The sequence below is a fragment of the Homo sapiens genome, chromosome 14 (genome assembly GCF_000001405.40).
Source record: "Homo sapiens chromosome 14, GRCh38.p14 Primary Assembly".
In the NCBI taxonomy this organism is placed as follows: domain Eukaryota; kingdom Metazoa; phylum Chordata; class Mammalia; order Primates; family Hominidae; genus Homo; species Homo sapiens.
In genome coordinates this window covers 68,713,980-68,737,346 of record NC_000014.9, presented here as the reverse complement: position 1 = coordinate 68,737,346, position 23,367 = coordinate 68,713,980, and the positions used below count along the sequence as shown (strand labels likewise).

General features: G+C 45.0%; 1 long non-coding RNA gene and 1 pseudogene across 1 annotated transcript, besides 3 other annotated features; one reads left to right on the top strand and one right to left on the bottom strand.

Annotated features, from left to right (window-relative positions):
- Nucleotides 1-525: an enhancer, noted in NCBI's record as "H3K4me1 hESC enhancer chr14:69203539-69204063 (GRCh37/hg19 assembly coordinates)". NCBI's record gives its function as "activates a minimal SCP1, AML or CMV promoter by ChIP-STARR-seq in primed H9 embryonic stem cells {active_cell/tissue: H9 hESC(primed)}" and the evidence as "EXISTENCE:reporter gene assay evidence [ECO:0000049][PMID:30033119]".
- On the bottom strand, nt 176-9,324 carry LOC105370547 (uncharacterized). Its single transcript, XR_007064227.1, has 4 exons — nt 9,209-9,324; nt 4,967-7,539; nt 3,208-3,401; nt 176-859 (listed from the first exon to the last, which is right to left on the bottom strand). It is a non-coding gene; the product is annotated as an uncharacterized LOC105370547 (long non-coding RNA).
- Nucleotides 526-1,052: an enhancer, noted in NCBI's record as "H3K4me1 hESC enhancer chr14:69203012-69203538 (GRCh37/hg19 assembly coordinates)". NCBI's record gives its function as "activates a minimal SCP1, AML or CMV promoter by ChIP-STARR-seq in primed H9 embryonic stem cells {active_cell/tissue: H9 hESC(primed)}" and the evidence as "EXISTENCE:reporter gene assay evidence [ECO:0000049][PMID:30033119]".
- Nucleotides 1,319-1,425, top strand: RNU6-921P (RNA, U6 small nuclear 921, pseudogene; annotated as a pseudogene).
- Nucleotides 6,058-6,611: an enhancer, noted in NCBI's record as "H3K4me1 hESC enhancer chr14:69197453-69198006 (GRCh37/hg19 assembly coordinates)". NCBI's record gives its function as "activates a minimal SCP1, AML or CMV promoter by ChIP-STARR-seq in naive H9 embryonic stem cells {active_cell/tissue: H9 hESC(naive)}" and the evidence as "EXISTENCE:reporter gene assay evidence [ECO:0000049][PMID:30033119]".
- Nucleotides 9,325-23,367: the final 14,043 nt, after the last annotated feature.

Genomic DNA, 23,367 nt, shown 5'->3' with positions numbered 1-23,367 from the left:
ACAAGCACAGGTGACAGCTGCAGAGGGGCCCCTCTTTCCATATAAGCCACTGCCTGCTTAGCCAGCCAATTGCTAGCTATTTCTGCAGCCCTGGATGGAGGCCTGGAGGAGGATGAAATCTGGCTATGGGGTTGCCTCTTGACCTTACACCCATGTTCACAATAACCACACAGTCTGCCTTTCAAAAGTTTATTTTCAGGGGAGTCACAGAACATCAGGTGGAGACCCCTAGGAAGAGGAAGCAGCTGGGGTGGGCTCCAGAGGGGTATGGGTCGGGGAATAACCTCAGAGAAGAATGAGCTGTGGAGTGGTGGCCTGGCACAGGCACCCCTGTACCCCTCACCTTCCCTTGTTTCCTGCAACATGGACACCATTCCACCGGCTCTCAGGGCCCACCCGGCTGACTACATCCTTGCCACTTGGCTTCCAGGCTGCTCGGGGCTGGAGGAGGGCAGAAATCCTGAGATACTGGGTCCTGGGAGGTTGGGGGTTGGGGCATGGGAAGGGACAGAGCCAGGCTGTGACAGAGGATAGAGGGCTTGAGTGACTGATAGAACGGGTCGGGTGGGGCAGCCCTGAGGAATTTCCCTCTGAGGAGAGGGGTTCTGAGCAGCAGCCTCACTGTCCAGGGCCCAGCGGTGAGGGAGGTGCAGCCTGAAGCTTGGATTCTGGCTGCGGAGGGCTTGTCGGGCTTGCTTGCTGAGGCCCAGGGCCTCTCTGGGAATGAAGGAATGCCTCTTGCTCTGGAACACCGAGGCCTGACAATTTTCTCTCTCAGCAACATTTACTTCTCTGTAAAACAGACTGTTGTAAGTTCCTCGGGGAGCTTGTTGGATTTGGTGCCTGAGTTCACAATCTCCTGGGGTGGACAGAAGGGTTTGGTAGAAGAATTAGGTGTGGAGACGGATAGGAGAGCAACGTGGAAGTTGGCTGGGAAAAGCCTGAGGTATTCAAGTCAGGAATATTAATACCTTAGGGTTCTCTCTCTCTGTCTCTGTCTCTGTCTCTCTCTCTCTCTGTGTCTCTCTGTGTGTGTGTGTGTGTGTGTCTCTCTCTCTCTGTGTGTGTGCGTGTGTGTCTCTCTCTCTCTGTGTGTGTCTCTCTCTCTGTCTCTGTCTCCCTCTCTCTCTCTCTGTCTGTCTCTCTGTCTCTCTCTGTTGGGGTGGGAGAGATCTCTAGCTCTTAGGATCATTGCCTGTCATGGCCTAACCCTATTCCCCACTCTATTTTTGTTAACATAATTACCGTTTCCTTTGTATGATTTTTTTTTTAACTTCAGCCCAATTCCAGGCCTCCTTGTTTAAAACAAAACAAAACAGTGCTCGCTTTGGCAGTGCATGTACTAAAATTGGAACAGTACAGAGAAGATTAGCATGGCCCCTGAGCAAGGATGACACGCAAATTTGTGAAGCATTCCATATTTTTTAAAATGAAAAAGTAATAAAACAAAACAAAACAAAGCTTTCAAAACTTAACATTTCTGTGGCGTCTTCCCTGAGTTAATGTAAACAGCCATGGCGATGGGTGCTGCCTGATGGTGAAGCTCCCCTGGACTTGGGTGGCCTTAGCAACCGTTCTGCAGGTATCTCTGGGACATTCTTTTTTTTTTCTTTTTTTTTTTGAGTTGGAGTCTCGCTCAGTTGCCCAGGATGGAGTGCAGTGGTGTGATCTCAGCTCACTGGAACCTCTGCCTCCCGGGTTCAAGTGATTCTCCTGCTTCAGCCTCCAGAGTAGCTAGGACTACAGGCATGCGCCACCATACCCAGCTAGTTTTTGTATTTTTAGTAGAGACAGGATTTCACCATGTTGGCCAGGCTGATCTCGAACTCCTGACCTCAAGTGATCTGCCTGCCTTGGCCTCCCAAAGTGCTGGGATTACAGGCGTGAGCCACCATACCTGGCCATCTCTGGGACATCCTTGAGCATCCCATATCTGTCTGCTGTTGTTTGGGCCTGTCATTCTGTGCTCAGTAGATATGGCAATGTGTCATCCAATAATTGATTCCTTACCAACTTTTTGGTTTTTTTCTGAGATGGACTTTTGCTCCGTCACCCAGACTGGAGTGCAGTGGTGTGATCACAGCACATTGCAGCCTCAACCTCCCAGGCTCAAGCGGTCCTCCTGTCTTAGCCACCCTAGTAGCTGGGACTAGAAACACACACTACCAAATCTGAGGACAAAAAAAATATTTTTGTAAATGCGGGGTGTCACTGTGTTGCCCAGGCTAGCCTTGAACAACTGGGCTCAAGCAGTCCTCTCGTCTCAGGCTCCTGAGGTGTTGGGATTATAGGCATGAGCCACCGAGCCCGGCCCCTTACCAACTTTAAGTTCTTCAGTTATCTCTTGGTCTTTTCCTCTGCAGATAAGTAATCTTAATTCCCATAATTAATTTTATAACCCAATCAACACAACTTCTTTTGAAATCACTGCATCCATCTCTCCTAATTTTTTAGAGTCTCCATTTTATAATGAGTGGCTAAGCCCTGAGTACCTAGAGACTGATGAAAAGATTGCATGGTTTATCTCTGCCTCTCTGCTTAGATTCCTGTTTAATAATCATTAAATCTCTCACGTGTCACTTCTATTTACAGTATACGGAGCACCACCATGTCTCTTATCTCAGGCCATCAGCCCTTCTTAGTGATCTTATTATTTCCACTGATTCAGGTTAAGCTTGGCCTACTGTGGGCTTTATTTAGATCATCTTTATTATACCTGTGGGTAGATTTTGCAAGCAGGCCCTAGCACAGGTTCACTTGTGGGTTTCCTTTTAAAAGGTCAGTGTGAAACAGGAAATGTGACTAAGAAAATCTTCTTCCTCCATGAAGCCTCACTTCATTAACTGGAAGAAAAGCTCCTATCCTGTCTCCCCCCAAACTTGCTCATGGCCCAGACACATTTCAAAACAGCACATATTTCCCAAAACACTGACACGTGCATTCTAAGGCTCGTGTGTGCGGTGAGTGGTTCTTTGTCAAGTTCGTTCTGTGAAGGGGCCCTGTCGTCACACCGATCACTGTTCTTCAGATATCTGAGGATGTGCAGGGGCCTGAGGGACCTGGAAACCTGGTGGCTGAGCAATGAGGAGAGTGGAACCCATGGTTGGAACAGTTGGCCATCCTCATGCGGATAGGGGCAGAGCCAGAATGGGAATCAAGGTCTCCTGACTCCCCGGCCACATTAACCCAAGTAAACCCCATGTCTACCTCCTTAGCTTCCGGAGTCCCCTGCATCTTCCTCCTTGTGGGACACAAGCCAGGTACAGTTGCAGGGTGGACATGTGGTTTCCAAACAGGATGCTGGGCAAATTAATCTGGGATTCCTGATTGGGGTTCTTTAGGAGGCAGTAGTGGCTACCCTTTAGATCATCTGGTTTGTGACCTTGTTTCAGTTTTCTCATCTATAAAATAGAAAAATAATAGTACTTATGATGAGGTAAAAATAAATGAATACACATAAAACACTTAGAACAGTCTTGCTGTGTGATCACTCCATAGCATTAGTGATTATTATTCTGGTGGGTTGGTTAGCTTTCCTCCATTCTATTCAGTTCAATGGGGGTTTGGCATCAACCACAGGCTTTGCCGGGGCTGTGAAAATGGCCACATTGAGGCTCCACCTTAACCCTGGCCAGCCTCCCAACAGCCAGCCATTTGTCTTAAGAAGAGCTGAAAGAAATAATCTAATGGCGCAATGCAAAGTCAACACTGATGGGGCTGAGGGGTGTCTTTTCGGACAAGACGTGCAGTGGGGAGCCCACCTGTGAGTTGGCCTGTTTCACGGCTGCGTGCGGTGCCCACTCCTCACAGACTCTGAGTGAGTGGCAAGGTGGGCCCGGAGTCAATTCTGGCTTGGCAATGGATACTGTTACTGAGGGCATGGGTTGAGGCACAGGAGCTTGGGGCTCCAGATGCTTGGAGTAAATGTGAAAAGGGAGTGTGGGATGATGTGAGTGGGAGCTGTGGATGGGTTCAAGCGTGCTGAGTCCTGGCTTGACTCACCCTTCCAGCTTCTGCTGTAACTGTCAGTGCCTTTGTCTGCATGCTGGGAAATCCCTGAGTGCTGGGTTAAACCCCAACCCTAAAAGGCACGTAGACACTTCTCCTGAGCTTTGAGTTGCTTCATTCTGCCCAGCAGCTTCCTGAAAATGTAGTCTTGCCACACCAGAGGAAGGATAGACCCATAGCTGTGGGGGACCCTGTGTCAGCAGGATTTACTACCGGGTGAGCTGGGGCTGCAACAGCACGTGTGAGCAACTTAACAGGGCTGATGGTTTTTCAACAAATTTTTAAAAATTAAAAAAAATTTTAAATTTTTGTCGGGACATAGTAGGTGTGTGTATTTATGGGGCATGAGAGATATTTTGATACACGCATACAATGTGTAGTAATTGCATCAGGGTAAATGGGGTATCCATCACTTAAAGCTTTTATCCTTTGTGTTACAGACAATCCAATTATACTCTTTTCGTTATTTTTAAATGTACAATTCAATCATTATTGACTATAGTCACCTTGTTGTGCTATCAAATATCAGATCTTATTCATTCTTTTCGCTCTTGTCTCCCAGGCTGGAGTGCAGTGGTTTGATCTTGGCTCACTGCAACCTCCGCCTCCCGGGTTCAGGAGATTCTCCTGCCTCAGCCTCCCAAGTAGCTGGAATTACAGGCGTGCACCATCATGCCTGGCTAATTTTTTTGTATATTTAGTAGAGATGGGGTTTCACCATGTTGGCCAGGCTGGTCTCAAACTCCTGACCTCAGGTGATCCGCCTGCCTCGGCCCCCCAAAATGCTGGGATTACAGGCGTGAGCCACTGTGCCTGGCCAAGATCTTATTCATTCTTTCTAACAATTTTTTTTGTAGTCATTAACAAGGCTGAAGTTTTAATGCAACTTACTTTTATTGCACATGCCATGCATTATGCACCAATCTGTGTTCTTCCAATGCTACCGGGAACCTCTTACCTTTGTATCAGTTCATCGTTGTCCTCTTCTCCAACTGCCTGTGTACCTGGGTCAGGGGTCCTCTTTTATCGAGTGGAACAAATGTGCCCAGGTACAGAGAAATGCTTTGTGCTATTGTCCACCAGGCAGGGGCATTTTCTTTTCTCAAATATTCTTGGTAAATAGACGAGCAGTCTTTACTTGAACGCACTGGGTGTCATATGCCACAGCCCTAACTTGAATGTGCTGGCTTGCTGCAAGTGGGTGATTCCTTAGAAATTTGCTCTGTTCCTAGACGGGATCAAAATGGTCCTTAGATTCTTAATGGGTCCCTATCTGGAATCCATTTGATCTTAAAATAAAATGGCCGTGGAAGAAATTTTTCATTAATTCCTAGCTGATTTGCAATGAAATTAAATTTCTGAGTATAAGGAATATTTTTTACGGAGTAAACTTATAAGTGGGGTTGCTGGGTGTTTCCCATTGATTAGCCTAGTGTTTAAAAGTATAATGTCTTTATTTTCTGGTTTCTTACTTTTTTGAGTTCCCTCACTTTTCTTCTAGAGTTCATTATGCAGGTCTGGAAAACAACAACCACCACCACCAGCAGGAGAAAAGCAGGGGTTAGTTTGGGGGGGGTTGAAATGGGAAAAATAGACATTTCCAGCTCCCAACATCTTATTTCCTGAATATCTTCGGAGCCCAAGAAAGTGGCTCTGAGCTGCCTTTGCAGTCTTGAAGCTGCACTTGCGTTCCCACCAGCCCCCGGGCCTCTGGTTGCATCCTGGGGGGCACTTCTGCACTCCCAGCCTCCTGGGTATGGATTGGGGTGAAGATGTTGTGCAGTGAGGGGTGGGAGCCCCACACCCTAATAGAGCCAAGCTGGCCACACTGCCTGTCTTTCCCAATTAGTTCCCCAAAGGGAACAAAGCCTTATTTCTTCCCTCCCTTAGTTCCCAGGCACTGGTTGGGGAAAAACAATCCTTGGCAGCTCAGGGGTTAAAAATAAAACACAGCGAGGGGGAAAACAAGCCGGGCAGCTGCAGCGGCTCCTCAGAGCCCACTCCAGGCTAAATAGAGGCCCCAGCAACTCCTTGGAGACTTGAACCCTGGGCGATGGAATTTTCCCTTGCATGAAGGCTATTGTCCTCTGGAAAGGGCCAGGGCCAGAGGAGGGCCTGGGGAGCACTGATCTCCCCAGCCCACAGCCAGGGAGCTCCTGAGAGCCCAAGGGCTCGGTCCCACCCAGCTGGGTTTGGGTGAAAAGGCAACGGGGGGTGCAGCCCACCCCTCCCCCTTTGGGAAAAAGGGAGGGCTTGGGCTTCCAAAGGCCTGGGTACCAGTTGTTGCCCCACTCCTCAGCCCAACCAGCTAGTCACGGATGGAATAAAAGGCTTGGTTCCCTTGGCAACTGAGGGGACTACAGTTTTTCACAGAGTACAAGATGGGCTTGGGGAGGAAGGGAGGTGAAAGTGAGGGATGGGGGGTGGTTTGCAGGAGGAGGGAAGAAGCGGGGAGGGGCAGCCTGTTTACCAGTGCTGCTTGAGTTTGAGTCTCAAGGGAACCTTTTGTAGGTTCTGGCCTGGGAAATGCAGGATACCCTGAGTGTGGGGGATGCTCTTAACTGCTTCTCAGTTTTGAGTCACCATTGGAAGTCTCTGGTCCATGGTAGAAATGTGATTGTTGTAGGCCTCATGCTAACCTCATGGACAGCTCAGGGGAGTTAAGCAGAGCCTACCTTTATAGGTGACTAGGCCTGGCCCTGTTTTATAACTGGAGACCCCTGGAAGTGTTGATAGATGCTTGAGCCCATAGAGAGCTATTTGTGAAGCAGAGATTAGAATAGCAGGCGCCTGTCTCCTGGGTCTGATCTCGATGGACTAGACAAGGCTATTTTTAATATCAAGCAGGAGAGCTGCTGAAATATAGACAAAGTGCAGAACCTGGGCTGATTTTGTCTCAAGCACAAGACTTTGTGAGAGGAGCTTAAAAATCTATCCATGTACTGAACAGATACATTTAGCCTCAGTGAAAACAAATGATAAGGGACGGGAGACTTTGTCCCAAAACTTTGGGATGAGAGGTCCCCACATGTTGTCACTAGCACGGAGGTGTACAGGAGACTTGGTATAACCCTCTCCGAGGCTTTAGATGGTCAGGGCTGCCCACCTGGCATTGATAGAAACACCTTTTATTGCTGCCATTAAAAGTGTGGCATCTGCCAAATGAAAAGAAAGGAAGCAGAGTGAATATGTTGATATGGTGGCTTAAGAAGATAGAATAGTGTAAACCGACACACTGTTCAAGAGTCTTGAAATGATTTTTTTAAAAAATGGAAAACAGAACCCCAAACCCCTATCTGGTATAGCAGAGAGTTCTTGGAAAGGATGAGAATGGGGTTCATGGCTGCTTTGGTGGAAAGGCTTGCTTGGTTCTTCTGCCTTTGCCGGGGGACCTGGGAGTGGGAAGGGGATGTTGGGGGAGAGGTCACTGTGTTTTCCTGAGAGGGTGGCGAGGGTCATCACCGTGAAGTACTTCCTCATGCACACTGCGGTCAGTTCCTTCAAAGCCTGGCTCCGATGGGTGGGTCTCATCTGAAAGACACAATTTGAGGAAACCTAGAGGGCGGCTCCTAAGATGAGGAAACACCTGGATGGCAGGTCTCTGATAAGGAAACAATCCTGAGATACCACTGCAGCTGCTTTGCATGCATGACCTATGCCCAATCAGATGACCATCTGCTTTAATCATCATAACCAAATAGTAATAATAAAAAGATCAAGGAATCACTTATCACCTAATTAATTTACTTACTGACTGGTGGGTTGGCAGAGAAACAAGTCTGGGCAATGCAGAATAACAAGCTACTTAGAAAATATGCAGAGAGGCTGGGTGCAGTGGCTCACGCCTGTAATCCCAGCACTTTGGGAGGCTAAGGCAGGCGGATCACAAGGTCAGGAGTTCGAGATCAGCGTGACCAACATAGTGAAACGCTGTCTCTACTAAAAATACAAAAAAAAAAAAAAAAAGAAAAATTAGCCGGGTGTGGTGGTGCACGCCTGTAATCCCAGCTACTCAGGAGGCGAAGGCAGGAGAATCACTTGAACCTGGGAGGCGGAGGTTGCAGTGAGCTGAGATTGTGCCACTGCACTGCAGCATGGGCGACAGACTGAGACTCTGTCTCAAAAAAAAAAAAAAGAAAATACGCAGAGGATGGCAACCCAGGGAAGAGAAAGTCACGTGAGCTCACCTCTGTGCTCTCGAGTGCATATAAATTCATGTAAGTTTCAAGACAATTCAGTGAGGTTGGTGTGATTATTATTCTCATTCTGTAGATGAAAAAACCGAGGCTTGTGTAGATTAACTAACTCGAGCAAGATCACGAGGTTGGAGGTGGTGAGCACTGGGTTTTGAACGCTATCAGATTATCCTCGATCTATACAGCAGCCTATAGTCAGAAAAGCATTTTCAGATCTGAAATTTCACTTGATTCTCAAAACCACTTATGGCAGGAGGTGATTCCCATTTACAGCCACAGAAGCTGAAGGTCATGGAGTTTAAGTGACATGTTCCAATCACAAGACTCTATGTGGCAAAGCTATGACTGCTCTGGGGCTTTTCACACGATGGCCTGTTTCCTGATCTCAAATTCCATTCTCAAATATCTGGGAACATTTTTTTGATTTGTTTGTTTGTTTGTTTGTTTGTTGAGATAGGGTCTCACTCTGTTGCCCAGGCTGCCGTCCGTTGGCGCAATCACAGCTCACTGTAGCCTCTCAACCTCCCAGGCTTCAGCAATCTCCAGCCTCAGCCTCCACAGGCTAGCTAGGACCACAGATATGCCTTTTAAAGTTTTTGGTATAGACAGGGTCTTGCTACACTACCCAGGCTGCTCTTGACCTCATCCAGGAAGACTTTGATGTCTGCCTTTCACTCATACATATATTTATTCAGCCATTCAACTAATATTTGCCAAGCACCTGTCATGAACAAGGCATCAAGGAGAACGGAAAACAAGCTAGATTTTTAAGAAGTCCCTGTGAATAAAAAGAATCTTATAATCTCACCGTCTGTGTCTGCCCTCACAACTATCAGTGGAAATTTTCCAAAATCAATGTGCTAACAGATGTGTTTTATTTCATAAGCTGGCACACTTAAAATTGAAGAACTAAAATGTTAAGAACTATTGAGTCACAAACATTCTCTGAACACCTTACACCTTAAAATGGAGGTAGTAATTCAGTAAGGTTTGGATGGACTCACGGTGACACCTCAGTGGGACACTTCCAATTCCTGGAGACAGAGGAGAGAAGAGTTTTGGCCAAGGCTCCCTTTGGCTGTCCACATTTGCTCAGACACTCAGCCTAGCTAGCATTCCTGTCTCCCCCCACTGTCCCTGCAGAATCTATTGTGAAGGGGCCCCTCCCATGGTCAAGCTTCCTCCCCATATCAGATTTTATGGCCCGGCTACTTCCTGGACAGGGCCAAACACTTAACAGATGCCTAGACTTGTATGGGTCAACGTCAGTGCGTATGCCGGTCATATTTCCTACACACCCATCTGTACAGAATCACACATTAAACATGATTTCTCACACAGAACTTCCATGGGGAAATCCTCACCCCCAAAGTGACAGAAGTTGCCAGAATATGTACAGGGAGGTAAAAAGCACTTAAAGACAAGTGAGCACGGTCATTTGCCCTGGAAGAGCATGCAGTGTTGGGAGAGCTGATAAACAAAATTTCCATCCCTCTCCATTCATCATTCATCAGTAAGTCATGCAGGTCAAAGTGTAGGGGGAAGGGGAAGAGGGCAGAGAGAGGAGAAAAGGGAAACTAAGAATTTTTTTTTTTTTTTAGAGATGGGGTCTCACTATATTGCCCAGGCTGGCCTCAAATTCCTGAGCTCAAGTGATCCTCCCACTTCAGCCTCCCAAGTAGCTGGGACTACAAGTGTGAGCTACCACACCCAGAGAGCTATGGAGTTTCCATTGTAAGGAAAATGAAGATGACAAAGGAATGCTGGGGACAGGCTTTTGAAGGGAATAGATCAACTCAGGCTGAAGTGCAGTGGCACAATCACACTTTAAATGAGTACGTTTTTAAATTTGTGAGTTGTATCTCAATAAAGATATTTTTAAAAATAGATACCTTAAACCTCACACATTTAAAAAATACAGGATATGGTATACAAAGAATAGATAGGACATACTTAAACTAAAAAAAAGAAATTACTTATTATTCATCTGAAATGAAAAGTTAACCAGATGTCCTATATTTTATCTGGCACTCCTACCTCCCCAACCCTCAACACCCAAAGCTCTTTGAATTTGTTTTTATTTTCTGTCCATATGAAGTACCTCTTGGGGCAAAGAGCTTCAAGTTTTATTATTCTCTTTGTGAAGCAGTGTCATGCTTTGTCTTCACTTCTCTTAAGTGTCCCCTTCCCACATATTTCAGAAAACGATGTATTTCTGCTGGGTTGTTTTCTCCTTAATGCTATGGAGGTCCATGCTCAGCCTTGGGCTTCCCAAAGAGAAATATGCTGGACACATCAGACAATTTTTTCTTGGCCAACTCATCCCTCCATCCCTTCTTTATGGTTGCCTTTTTTCAGGTCTCTTGTTAGGAACTCATGACTGAATAGCATCCAACAGACCACCAATCCAGATGTGATGGCCCAAGGGGATTCAATATGGGTGGGGGAAAACTCACTGAGGGTTTTCCAGGTCCTGTCCTGATAACGCTCACATTAGTCAAGAACCAAGTGTTTAGGAAGCACATTCACAATGGATAAAAGCCACGCCGTAGCATAAATCCATTTGCTATATGGAGTCTAAATCTTGCCTTTTTCTGTTTCATGTGATGTGATGTATGTGTGTGTGTGTATGTGTGTGTGTGTGTGTGTGTGTGTGTGTGTATGTGTTGTGGTTTTTGTTTTTTGCCTGTTTGTTTTTGTTAGCCAGATAAAAATCCAGTAAAACAATTGAGAGGATGGTGGAGGGAAGGCAGGTAATATGGTTTGGCTCTGTGTCCCCACCCAAATCTCATCTTGATATAATTCTCACATGTTGTGGGAAGGGACCCAGTGGGAGATAATTTGAATCATGGGAGCGGTTTCCCCCATACTGTCCTCATGGTAGTGAATAAGTCTCATGGGATCTGATGGTTTTATCAGAGGTTTCCACCTTTGCATCTTCCTCATTTTTCTCTTGCCACTGCCGTATAAGAAGTGCCTTTCATCTCCCACCATGATTCTGAGGCCACCCCAGCTATGTGGAAGTGTAGGTCCAATTAAGCTTCTTTTTGTTCCGAGTTTCGGGTGTGTCTTTATCAGCTGCATGAAAGTGGACTAATACAGCAGGTAAGAAGGATCACAGTGTGGTCTTCTGGATGCTTTCAGTGCAAGAGAATACACAATGAAGATGGTGGTTGTGTTAGGAGGGCGGAATTATGACTTTTATTCTCTCTTTCCTGTTTTCCAAACTTTATATAATATAGTTCTCTAAAGATAAAGAATTTGAAAGAGTGCTTAAATTTTCATTTAAAAAAATACAAGGCCTCACAATTAAAACTGACTACAAAAAGAAAATATTGCATTGTAAAATAATAAAAGCATGTAAATGCTTTATAAATTTTATAGGCTATTTTCTGAGTAACTTTCCCATGATTCCCCGGTTCTGTGCTATATGGTAGCATTGCTGGAACCGGAAGTCAGATATGTCAGACTTGAAACCCAGGCCCTTCCCATTATATCACAGCAGACATCTACCAGTCGGATTTCATGAAAGTGTTATCTGTTCAAGAGTCACATGGATTTCAGCACTTTATTACTAAGTTGTTTATGCTTGGATATCTAGCATTGCCTATCTACATAATAATTATTTTCATAATATTGATTCTTGTGCACAAAATCCCTGTAGTCTATGAATGAATAAGCAAAGAACAGTCAATTACATAATAATAGCTACTGTTTCCTGGATGCCGTGGGCCAGGTATCAGAATTAAATTTGAACTTCATTTACCTAATTTGATCCTTGCAACAGTTCTGAGGAAGATTTCAGCCCCATTTTATAGATGAGGAAATGGAGATTCAGCAATATTAAGATCACATAGTAAGTTTACAGGCTGAGATTCAGAAAATCCTAACTAGGTACAACTTGTTTTATCATATGCTAATCTTTGAAAAATTCAACCATCCCCATTGAGAGTAGTAACCTTCCTTCTCTAAGCAGGGGGTAAACAGTTCTCACTTTTTTGTGTGTGTTTGTTTTGAGACAGGGTCATGGTCACAAGCTCTGTGCCCAGGCTGGAGTGCAGTGGCACCATCACGGCCCACTGCAATCTCCGCCCCCTGGGCTCAAGTGTTCCTCTCACCTCAACCTCCTGAGTAGCTGGGACCACAGGTACATGCCACCTGTGCCTGGCTATTTTTTGTATTTTGTTTTGCTTTGTTTTTTTTAGAGACAGCGTTTCACCATGTTGTCCAGCTTGGTCTTGAACTCTTGGCCTCAAGCTATCTACCTGCCTCAGCCTCCCAAAGTGCTGGAATTACAGGCATGAGCCACCGCGCCCGGCCTCTCACCTTTCTTTCTAAGAAACTTAAAAGGAGAAAATTAGGCCGGGCCTGGTGGCTCAAGCCTGTAATCCCAGCACTTTGGGAGGCTGAGGTGGGCGGATCTCTTGAGGTTGGGAGTTCAAGGCCAGCCTGACCAAGATGGAGAAACCCTGTCTCTACTAAAAATACAAAATTAGCCAGGCGTGGTGGCCCATGCCTGTAATCCCAGCTACTTGGGAGGCTGAGGCAGGAGAATCACTTGAACCCAGGAGGCGGAGGTTGCAGTGACCCGAGATCATGCCATTGCACACCAGCCTGGGCAACAAGAGTGAAATTCCGTCAAAAAAAAAAAAAAGAAAAGAAAATGAGAGGGAATACTTGAATCATCCTTAGAGTTGACCTAACCCTTTAGATGCCTACAATTAAACTGGGAAGCAAATTTCTGAAGGAGCCACAACTTTCAAATCTTCCTCATGCACCTGTTAAACCACCCTTCTCTCAGTGTCCTTGAGGGTTTGTATTGTGAAGGCTGAGGAGGAAATCTGCTTCTTTATTTCTTCCCCTGCCTTGGAAGGATCATTTTTCCATATTAAACAGAGCATCATACATTCCTGAGAATGCCTCTCCCACAGACTTGTTTTGACAACCAGGAGGGAGGATGGGAGGAGGCTTGTAGAATGGGCTGCACAATAACCCAAGAAGATCAAGGAAAGCCGTTTCCAAAACAAAGGTTGATCATGTATAGCTCCCTCTCAATCTGGGCTTCTCAGAGAGTGCATTAATCAAAGGGGAAACACCTGGGTCTCTAATGCCCTTCTTGCTTGTCAGAGGCGTGTTCCAAGGCTTTCATCATGCTGATGGTGACCTTCTAAGTCCGTGCTTCTGGTCAAAGGTTTGTGTATGTGTTTCATTGAATAGGTTGAGCATTTATCAACCATTATTGGTATTTCATAACCATTCCCCTGGGTGTTGTAATTAGAACTCTTTTGCATTCTCAAGTTTTGATATATGATTTTTAAAAACAGAGGACTTTGGTCTTAAAATCATGCAATTCCCTCCTTCGTGGGTTTGCACAGGAACGTAAGAAGAAATTGGAGAGAAGGGTTTCTTCTGGGACTTTTACTTACAATACCTTCTTTCCAGAAAGCTCCATTTAGCATTATTTTGGCAATTGGTTTTAGCATAAGTGACAGATTCTCCTTCAAAGAATTAAAAACTGTTTACATCTTTGGGGTAGGCATTACTCCCTGTTTTGTAAGCAAGGAAAAATTATTGCCTAAAATCTTAGTGGTTTTGCCTCCCTACCAGAAGTATTGCTTTTATCATTATGTAGCAAGAATATCTGCACAGATCTATTTGGCAAAGATTTTATTCAAAGGCTTGGGTACTGATTAACACTGCCTGGCCCACTGAACAATGGGTTAACCTAGGCTTGATAAACCAAATAAGACCTTTGTCTTGTTTTGCTGGCCGCTCAAAAGCACCTCTACCATAAAATCATTGCGCCTCCAGGGAGAGACCTGGTTTATTTTTTTTGCCCCTGATAGATAGCTGAATACAAGTGGGGGTATTGATAGGAAGGCCCTCAAGGATGTGCGTGTGCTTGGGAAGGTTGTATGTGTGTCTATACATGTGTGTGCACCTGCTCACAAGTAGACTACTACCCACTGCGTTCTGGGCTGTGGGGAGTGGGACGGTGAAGCAGCTAGTTCACCAGCATAGCAGGTAAGGCTTGAACATGAATTGTACATGTATGAGTATCCATGCACTCATCCTCACTGCCCTGGTTGGGCCACTTTGCCCAGGTGGATAAAACCAGGACTAAGGAAGCTCTAGCAGTTTTCTGAACATAATACTGTACTATACTTATGGGTGCCTAGAAAATACTTAAGAGTTTGCAACAGGATTAGCAAGAACCCACCCATCTCCTGGGAAAACTGCTTGGGCTCATTCCAGATTGGGGTCAACAGTGTCACTTTTATTTCCTAAAAATACCCAAGCTTGTTAAAAACTTAAAAAAAAAACAAACCTCTCATCCGTTAGTTTACGGCTTGCATCCCTCAACCGCTGAACTTGCAAAGGTTTCACAGAAGCATCATCTGTACCTTGGGGCAATCCCTGAGAGCGGGTAGGCTGCTCCAATCTCTGCTGTGGATCTGGTTTTCAAGACGAGGGAAAGAAGGATTAGGAAGACCACACACCAGTGACTTGATGCCTGTCCTTCGCCAGGTTTTAGAATGGATCATTATATATTTGGAGGCAGTGGGAATGCTTGGTCTGGGGACAAAAGACTCAGAGGGGATGAGGCTTACAGCCTTAAAATACTCAAAGAGCTCTCACAGAGGAGAGGAAATAGACTTATTCAAACTCTGCCTGAAGGGTGAAGTTTCCAGAAGGACTATTTTGGTTCAACATAAGAATGACTGTCTAACAACCACCCAACAATGGGTGGAAAACTTCCTTAGAGGTGCTGAGAAAGGGCCCGGGCTTAGGACCGTTCAAGCAGAGGACAGCAGGGATGTTGTAATAAGAATTCCAGCAGTGGGCTTGAGGTTCAGCTGATGACCTCCAAGGTTCCTTCCAGCTCTAAGATTGGATGATTCTATATCTGTAATTTTCCATTTCCCTATTAAGAAGAAATTTTCCACAGTGAAAATTGTTTTAGTATTTGATAAAAGCTGTGGGATGATTTTTGCTTTTGTTGACTTTAACAGGGGGCTTACTACTCTGCCCCAGTGGCGTAACAAGACACAAACACATCAGTGATATTTATTGGGCAGGGGAGAGAGGCGTTTATTGTTGGGTGGGAAAGTCCTGCTTGCTTACATGGGGACTGGCATGGAGGTGTTGGGAACTCCAAATCTTTCCTCACATTGTTTCTGAAATTCCTCTGCCCAAAGGACCTGGGCATTTTACCCCAGTCCTGCCTAGTGGGTGCAGCAGAGGTGTCTGGAGCCTGACCGACATTTCACCAATCACCTTGGTAGTTCTCATAGCATCCTCCCAATCCCCTACAATTCTGTGTCCACCGCACAGAGCCCTGTATAATGTGATTACCCTAAGGAACCTTCTGAAACACTTACCTCACACATGATCTCTCCCAACTTGAGGACAGAGTACACTTTCTTTGAAGGTAACTGACCCTCTTTCGAATGCTCCTTCCATTAAGCTATCATAAAGAATATAAACTTTCTATTAAAAAAAAAACAAAGAGAAAGTGTGTGTGGTGGCTCACTCCTGTACTCCCAGCACTTTGGGATGCCAAGGCAGGCGGATTACTTGAGGCCAGAAGTTCGAGACCAGCCTGGCCAACATGGTGAAACCTTGTCTCTACAACAAATACAAAAATTAGCCAGGCTTAGTGGCATGCACCTGTAGTCCTAGCTACTCAGGAGGCTGAGGCAGGAGATTCTCTTGAACCTGGGAGGTGGAGGTTGCAGTGAGCTGAGATCTGCATTCCAGCCTTGGTTACAGAGAGAGACTCTGTCTCAAAAAACAAACAAACAAAAAGAGAAACATGAATTTAAACATCCCTTATACACTAGACTATAACTTCACCTGACTTTAACTTTTAAATGAAAAGTTATTATGTTTAGTATAGTCAATTCTTTGCCTTGAAGATTGACTGGTAAATTTTTTTTTTACACTTACTTTGCTAATTCTCCATCTCTTTCTTTATTGGGTTAAGGATATGTTGCAAGGAGAGTTCTAGGAGTTGAAAGTAAAATACTGTTAATTCAAAAATGAATAAATATGCTCCTAGCAATGGATTTTTATTAGTGTTCAATTAGTAGAGTGTGATCAAGGATCTGGGATAAAAGACCTCACCCTTGATGGGGCCCCCTGGAGCACCTCAATCCTTAGCTCTTCTGGTAACCACCAGGGAGAGTTGAGCATTATTTGTCAGATCCTTTCAGCTAAGTTTCAGACTGAAGGCAATGAACAAAGGTGCTCAACATGATTCGTTGCTAGAGAAACACAAATTAAAACCGTAGTGCGATACCATTATACACCAAAACTAAAACTTACTTGAAAAACGTTAAAAACTTAGGCTGAGCATGGTAGCTCATATCTGTAATCCCAGCATTTTGGGAGGCTGAGGTGGGAGGATCGTTTGAGGATAGGAGTTTGACACTAACCTGGGCAAGATAGTGAGACCCCATTTCTAAAAAATTAAAAAATTAGCCAGGCATTGTGGTGCACGCCTGTAATCCCAGCTACTCTGGAGACTGAGATGGTAGGGTCACTTGAGCCCAGGGAGGTTGAGGCTATAGTGAGCCATGTTCGTGCCACAGCACTCCAGCCTGGATGACAGAATGAGATCGTGTCTCAATTAAAAAACAAAAACAAAAAGACTGATTTATTCAAGTGCCAAAGAAGATATAGAACAACTTGAAATGCTCATACACTACTGATGGGCATGTAAATTGGTACAACCACTCTGGAAAACTGTTTGGTAACCTCTGCTAAAGTTAAAGCTACTCTGTGATCCAGCAATTCCATTCCTACGTACAGACCTAAGAGAAATGAGTTCATATTTCTTCCAAAAGAAAGGTACAAGAGTGTTTTGCAATTTTATTCATAATAACCCCAAGTTGGAACCAACACAAATGTCCACTCATAAAAGAATGAATAAACAGATTGCAGTATACTCATATAATGAAATACTACATAGAAGTAAAAAGAACAAGCACCTGAAACCACTGATACCACAACATTTTTTGAGTGAAAAAAAGCTAGACATAAGAGTATATATTTTATGTTGTTATTTACATAAAGTTAAAGAGCACGAAAATCAGGCAATGTTGCTGCAGAACAGTGGTTACCTTGGGTAGGAAGTTAGTGACTCAGAGGCAGGAGGAGGGAAATGTTCTATATTTAAATCTGTGTATATGTATCTTAGGTGCACACATTTGCAAAAACCAAGCTGCTAATGTAAGATTAGTGCACTTCAAAACCACAAAGTGATATCATTTCACACCCACTAGCGTGGCTAAAACAAAAGAGACAAGACAATAATAAGAGCTGATGAGAATGTAGAGAAATTGGAGCCCTCGTATATGGCTGTGGGACTGAAAAGCAGTGTTTCAGAAAACATTTTGGTACCTCCTTAAAAGTTAAGCATTAAGATGCCATATAGTTGGCAATTCCATTCCTAGGTATATACCCAAGAAAATTGAAAACATGACCACACGAAAATCTGTACATGAATGTTCATAGAAGCTTTATTCATAATAGCCAAAAAGTGGTAGCAACCCAAGTGTTCATCAACTGACAAATGAATACACAAAATGTGCTGTGTCCATAGAGTGGAATATTATTTGACAATGAACCTTGAACATGTTACGCTAAGTGAAAGAAGCCAGTCACAAAAGGCCATATGGTAAATGATTCCATTTGTATGAGATGCTCAGAATAGTGACAGAAAGTAGATTAATGGTTGCCAGGGGCTGGAGAGGGTGAAATGGAGAGTGAGGGTTTTTTTTTTTTTTTTTTTTTGGTGGGGGGCGAGGAAAATGTTCTTAAATTAAGTAGTGATGAGATTTCTCTGTGAATATAGTATTATAAAAACCTGTGAATTGTATACTTTTAAAGGGTGAATTTTATGGTATGTGAATACTTCAATAAAGCTGTTATTAAAAGAAGATTATTAGACCTTACTGTATGTATTTACACCTCATTAAGAAGACAGAGAATGAACGGTAAATTGTCAGAATTTAGAATCCGAAAAATTTCAGAATTCTTCAATGGAAAATGACAAAACAGGGAAAGGGCATGGGTTGGGAATAAAGAGAGTAGATATCAGTTTGAACAGCTTCTCAAAGTGCCAGGTACTTTATGTCCATTATTTCATTTAATTGTCAAAGGACTCCTATAACACATATATTCCCAGTGGGCTCCTTCCGCAATTCTCAAAGGCCGCCAAAGCCAGGACTTGGGGTCTGAAGGTGTCTCTGCTTCATTGTCTTGTGCTGCCCCTCAGATGCACTCCCAGTGGGGTTAGGGTTGGCCTTGGGTTGACCTTGTCCGGCATACTCACTTGGTGGAAGAGGATCCTGAGACCCAGACACATGATGTGACTTATGTAACATCCCACAGCCACCCCGTGGCAGAACTGGATTAAACCCTGATGCCCCAGTGTAGGATTCTTTGGTTAATAGCTGATAAGGTAAAAAGCACTATACCAAGCACCTTATTACATAGATCTGCTTGGTCACAAAGCAGTCTGGAAGGGTTCAGTGCAGTGAGGATGTGTCCACCTGGGGCACAGAAACCCTTTTGGGTTTCTCAGAGCAGTTCTTGTGCCAGCCACCAGGGCACTTGCAGCTGCCTTGTATGTGGCAGCTGAGTTGTGCATCACCACGTGTGTGGATAGGTTAACTGGTAGGCACACACTATGGAATACCCATGGATCTTAGAAGCAGGGAATGATATGCACATACTGTCACATGGTGATACCTTAGAACTGGAAAAAAGAGCAGGAAACCAAATGCTATTTACAGCATACCATTTATGAATTAAAAATACAATCCTCCTACAGAATAATACCATGTATCTCACAAGAATATATCATTATCAAAGGATCCCTTGAAACACATGAGTATAGCAACTACTGGAGCGAGGGGAATGCAGTGAGTGTGATGCTGCCATGAATCAAATAGGATGATTAACTCAATTCTTTACCCCTGAGGCCCAGAAAAAAATGAATAAAAAAATAGCAGCATCAGATATTTTATGGAGACAGGAATCTGGTTTTTTTCTTTTCTTTTTTTTTTTTTGAGACGGAGTCTCGCTCTGTGGCCCAGGCTGGAGTGCAGTGACGCAATCTCGGCTCACTGCAACCTCTACCTCCCAGGTTCAAGTAATTCTCCTGTCTCAGCCTCCCGGGTAGCTGAGACTACGGGTGCCCACCATCACGCCCAGCTAATTTTTGTATTTTTAGTAGAGACAGGGTTTCACCATATTGGTCAGGCTGGTCTCCTGGCCTCAGGTGATCCACCCGCCTCGGCCTCCCAAAGTGCTGGGATTACAGGCGTGACCCACCAGGCCCGGCCCTGTTTTCTTTATTTTACTGACAGAGGCCTGTGTGCACCTGAAAGTGTCTAAATCAAAATCTATATATACAACTTGTTTGGAAGTAAGCAGAGAGAACTGCAAAGACAGGAAGGTCTCCAGCTGTGCACTGCCCAAGCATCTCCTGTCAATGCAGCTAGCTTTCCAAGAATGGCCTGTGGTTCTTCTTTACTACTTGCTACTCTGTCCTTGACATTCATAATACACGGGTCTTGGACCTCAGGCCTCCAGAACTGTGAGAAAATATGTTTCTGAGGTAGATAATAAGTTTCTGAAACAGATACATTGTTTAAGCCACCCCATCTGTGGGATTTTGTTACGGTAGCCCTAGTACACAAATACAGCAGGTATTGGCAGAGCTGGGATTTAGGCTCACAGGTGCAACAATCAGCCTTCAGTCCTGGGTTCCCTGTTTAGTGATGTTATCTTCTAGCAAGTGAAGCTGTGGTCACTTTCCTGTTAGACACTCTCATCTTTGGGGGTTGAAAGAGCCGAGTAAGGGCCGGGCATGCGGGGGGTGACACCTTTAATTCCAGCACTTTGGGAGATCAAGGCAGGAGGATCTCTTGAGGCCAGGAGTTCAAGACCAGCCTGGGAAAAATAGCAAGGTCCCTGTCTCTATTTTATTAAAAAATAAAAACAAAAAAGAGCTGAGCAAGGTGGATCTATGGAAAGAATAAGAGGGATACCATGAACTCGCTCAATCCCATTGCTTTACTCTGGGCAGCAGCTGGGGAAGCCATGAGATGTCAGCCAATTGACAGAGTACCCGGCATTTATCAGGCCCCAGGTGAGGGGAGCTAGCATGCCTTGGGATATACATTCAGCTGGAAGCGCCTCTCAACTGCCAATAATTCCTTTACAAGTGCCATAGGCCTGAGTAAATATGTACTGCTCCCTGCGGGCTCTCCTAGGGACTGCTCCTTAAACAAGGCCCATTGTGGTGTTTGAAAGCACAGTTCCTTCTGATATTAGACCAGAGATGATTGTTCCCATATCAAAGAACTCATGAAGGTCAACAAAGCTCAGGAATGGAGGAGTTGAACCTGGGTTCATCTGTGGTGCTGGGGGAGCCTTGCCCATACTGTTCATGCTAGGAAAATGTCCCAGGCAGAGACTGGAGGACAAGGGCTACTTCCTATACTCTTGAATTTTAGCAGTGTTGAGGCAAAGAAGTCCTCTTGTTCTTTGTTTTTGTGGGTTTTTTTTTGGGGGGGTTGTTTGTTTTTGTTTTTGGTTTTTGGTTTTTGTTTTTTTTTTTAGATGGAGGCTCACTCTGTCGCAAGGCTGGAGTGCAGTGGCGTGATCTCAGCTCACTGCAACCTCTGCCTCCCGGGTTCAAGAGATTCTCCCGCCTCAGCCTCCCGAGTAGCTAGGATTACAGGCATGCACCACCATGCCTGGCTAATTTTTGTATTTTTAGTAAAGACAAGGTTTCACCATGTTGGCCAGGCTGGTCTTGAACTCCTCACCTCAAGTGATCCACTCACCTTGGCCTCCCAAAGTGTTGGGATTACAGGCATGAGCCACTGTGCCCGGTCTTTTCTTGTTCTTTCTGTGATTCGTGTTGTCCGCGTTCCTGCTTGTCAGCTCTCACCAGTCTTCTAGGAACAGAGGGGTTTTGCAGGGAGAGGGGAATAGACATTGTGTGTCTCTGTTTTTATATTTGTTGGGAGACCTTGTAGCAGGGATTGTGTGTGCATGTGTGTGACGATGGTGAGGTAGTGGAGGTAAGAATAGGCATAAAGGAAGGGAGAAGGGACAGCCCAGATTCTCTTGGCTCTCCTGAAGGGTTTGAGAACCTATTGAAACTTGGGCTTTTTCTCAGCCAGCACTTACCATTTAAAGGCCTGGTTTGAGGGGGCCTTTCTGTTACTAACAGGCCATACCCTTCCGGCACTATTACCCTGTTGGTCCAGCAAAAACCCTTGTTGAAAACAGTGTCTCAGCTTATCTTGGTTTAAGGTATTTGCCTCCTTCCCCTACCCACATTCATGGGACTGTGACTGGAATCCAGTGAAACAGGCATGAGTTCAAAGTCTTTGTCTACCGCTTACATTGCATGAGACCTTGGTGATCACTTAATTCTTGAGTCTCAGTTTACCCAACCATAAATTGGGAGAATAGTTTTGATTCCATAAGACTGCTAAGAGGAATGAATAAAATAGAAAATGCTTTTGGCATATGGTGGATATTCAAAAATATTAGTTTTCTTCCTCCCACCCAAATATTAGCTAGGCAGTTTATGTCATTCATTCAACAAATGCTTATTGGGTGTCAACTAAATGCTGGCAGAGGGTGCCCCCTGCAGTTGTGCAACATGGTTGCCCAGATGTCCCCGCCCTTAGGAAGCGTACAGTATAGTGGCTAAAAAGCAAAGTGGAATCAAGTGTTAGGGAAGTGGTGGCATCATATTTTCTTAGCCTTGTTCTCTGATGTCTCCTCATTTGGCAGTGAGGCTAGATAGGAACCTCAGGCTCAAGGGGAATTCTCTGAACTGAACTTTGAGAACAAGACAATAGTGACTCACAACAGGTTAGTTTCCATCAGCAGCAAAGGAAGGGCTGGGGAAGAGCTCAGGGAATCAAACAGCTGTCACAACAACCCTCGTCATCTTCTATTTATGTGGGACTCTTCCCCCCTTGCAAGCTAAGTGCTAAGTGGACATTACTCAGTGAATTCTCTCACCCTCCTCGTGGGGCAGGGAGGAGGCGAAGATTCTTAGAGATGAGGAAACAGGCAAGGCAAAAAGATAACTGCCTTGCCTGAAGTCACACAGCTAGCACAAGTAGTGGACTGAGAATTGGGTTGACCAACTTGGAGCCCACTGGCTCATACTCTGATCATGGGACAAGGAGGTCAGGATGCTGTGTGTGGCTGTGGGAAGCAGGGTTAGGAAAGCTTTACAGCTTGTTCTGATGCTTGACAAATACAAGTTCCTTTATAAGTTATTATTATTTTTAAAATATATTTTTGAGGTAAGGTCTTGCTCTGTTGCCCGGCTGAAAGTGCAGTGATGAAATCATAGCTCACTGCAGACTCAAACTCCTGGGCTCAAGTGATCCTCCCTCCTCAGCTCCCTGGGTAGCTAGGATTACAGGTGTGCACCACCACACCCGGATAATTTTTTTATTTTTCTAGAGGTAGGGTCTCACTATGTTGCCCAGGCTGGTCTTGAACTCCTGGCCTCAAGTGATCCTCCTGCCTTGACCTCCCAAGGGACAGGGATTACAGGTGTGAGCCACTGCACCGGGCTCCAAATATGAGTTTTAACTCTACACTCCGTTCTGCTTTGGTGGCCCAATGCATTACATTTAGGGACATTCCAGTGTTGGTCCCCTCCCTGTTCTCTGATGCTGTCCATAGGATGTTAATGTGATAGAACCTTAGACGTAATCCAACCCAACCCCCGATGTTACAAATGAGGAAACTGAGGCCCAGAGAGATGAAATGACTGACTCAAGGTCACACAGATCTAGGTCTAGAACTCAATTCCCTCAGCCATCTCTCAAGATTCTTTCTCTTCCACTGGAAGTTTCCCAGTAATGGCCCTGCTTTCCAGCCCTGACTCTCTCAGTTCTTATCTGTGGCAGCTCCTGACATCCTAGGTCAGAGATCCAAGCCTCCAGTTCTCCTGTCAGTGCCCCTTGTTGGTGGCCAGCTTTCTGGACCACCTCTTTGGGATTTTTCTGGGAGCACCATCTTCCTCCAGGGCTGTCCTGAACCGTAGACACAGCGTGGGTGCTTGGAATTGGCAGGATTCTTGAGATTGAAGGACGGGAGCCGCAGC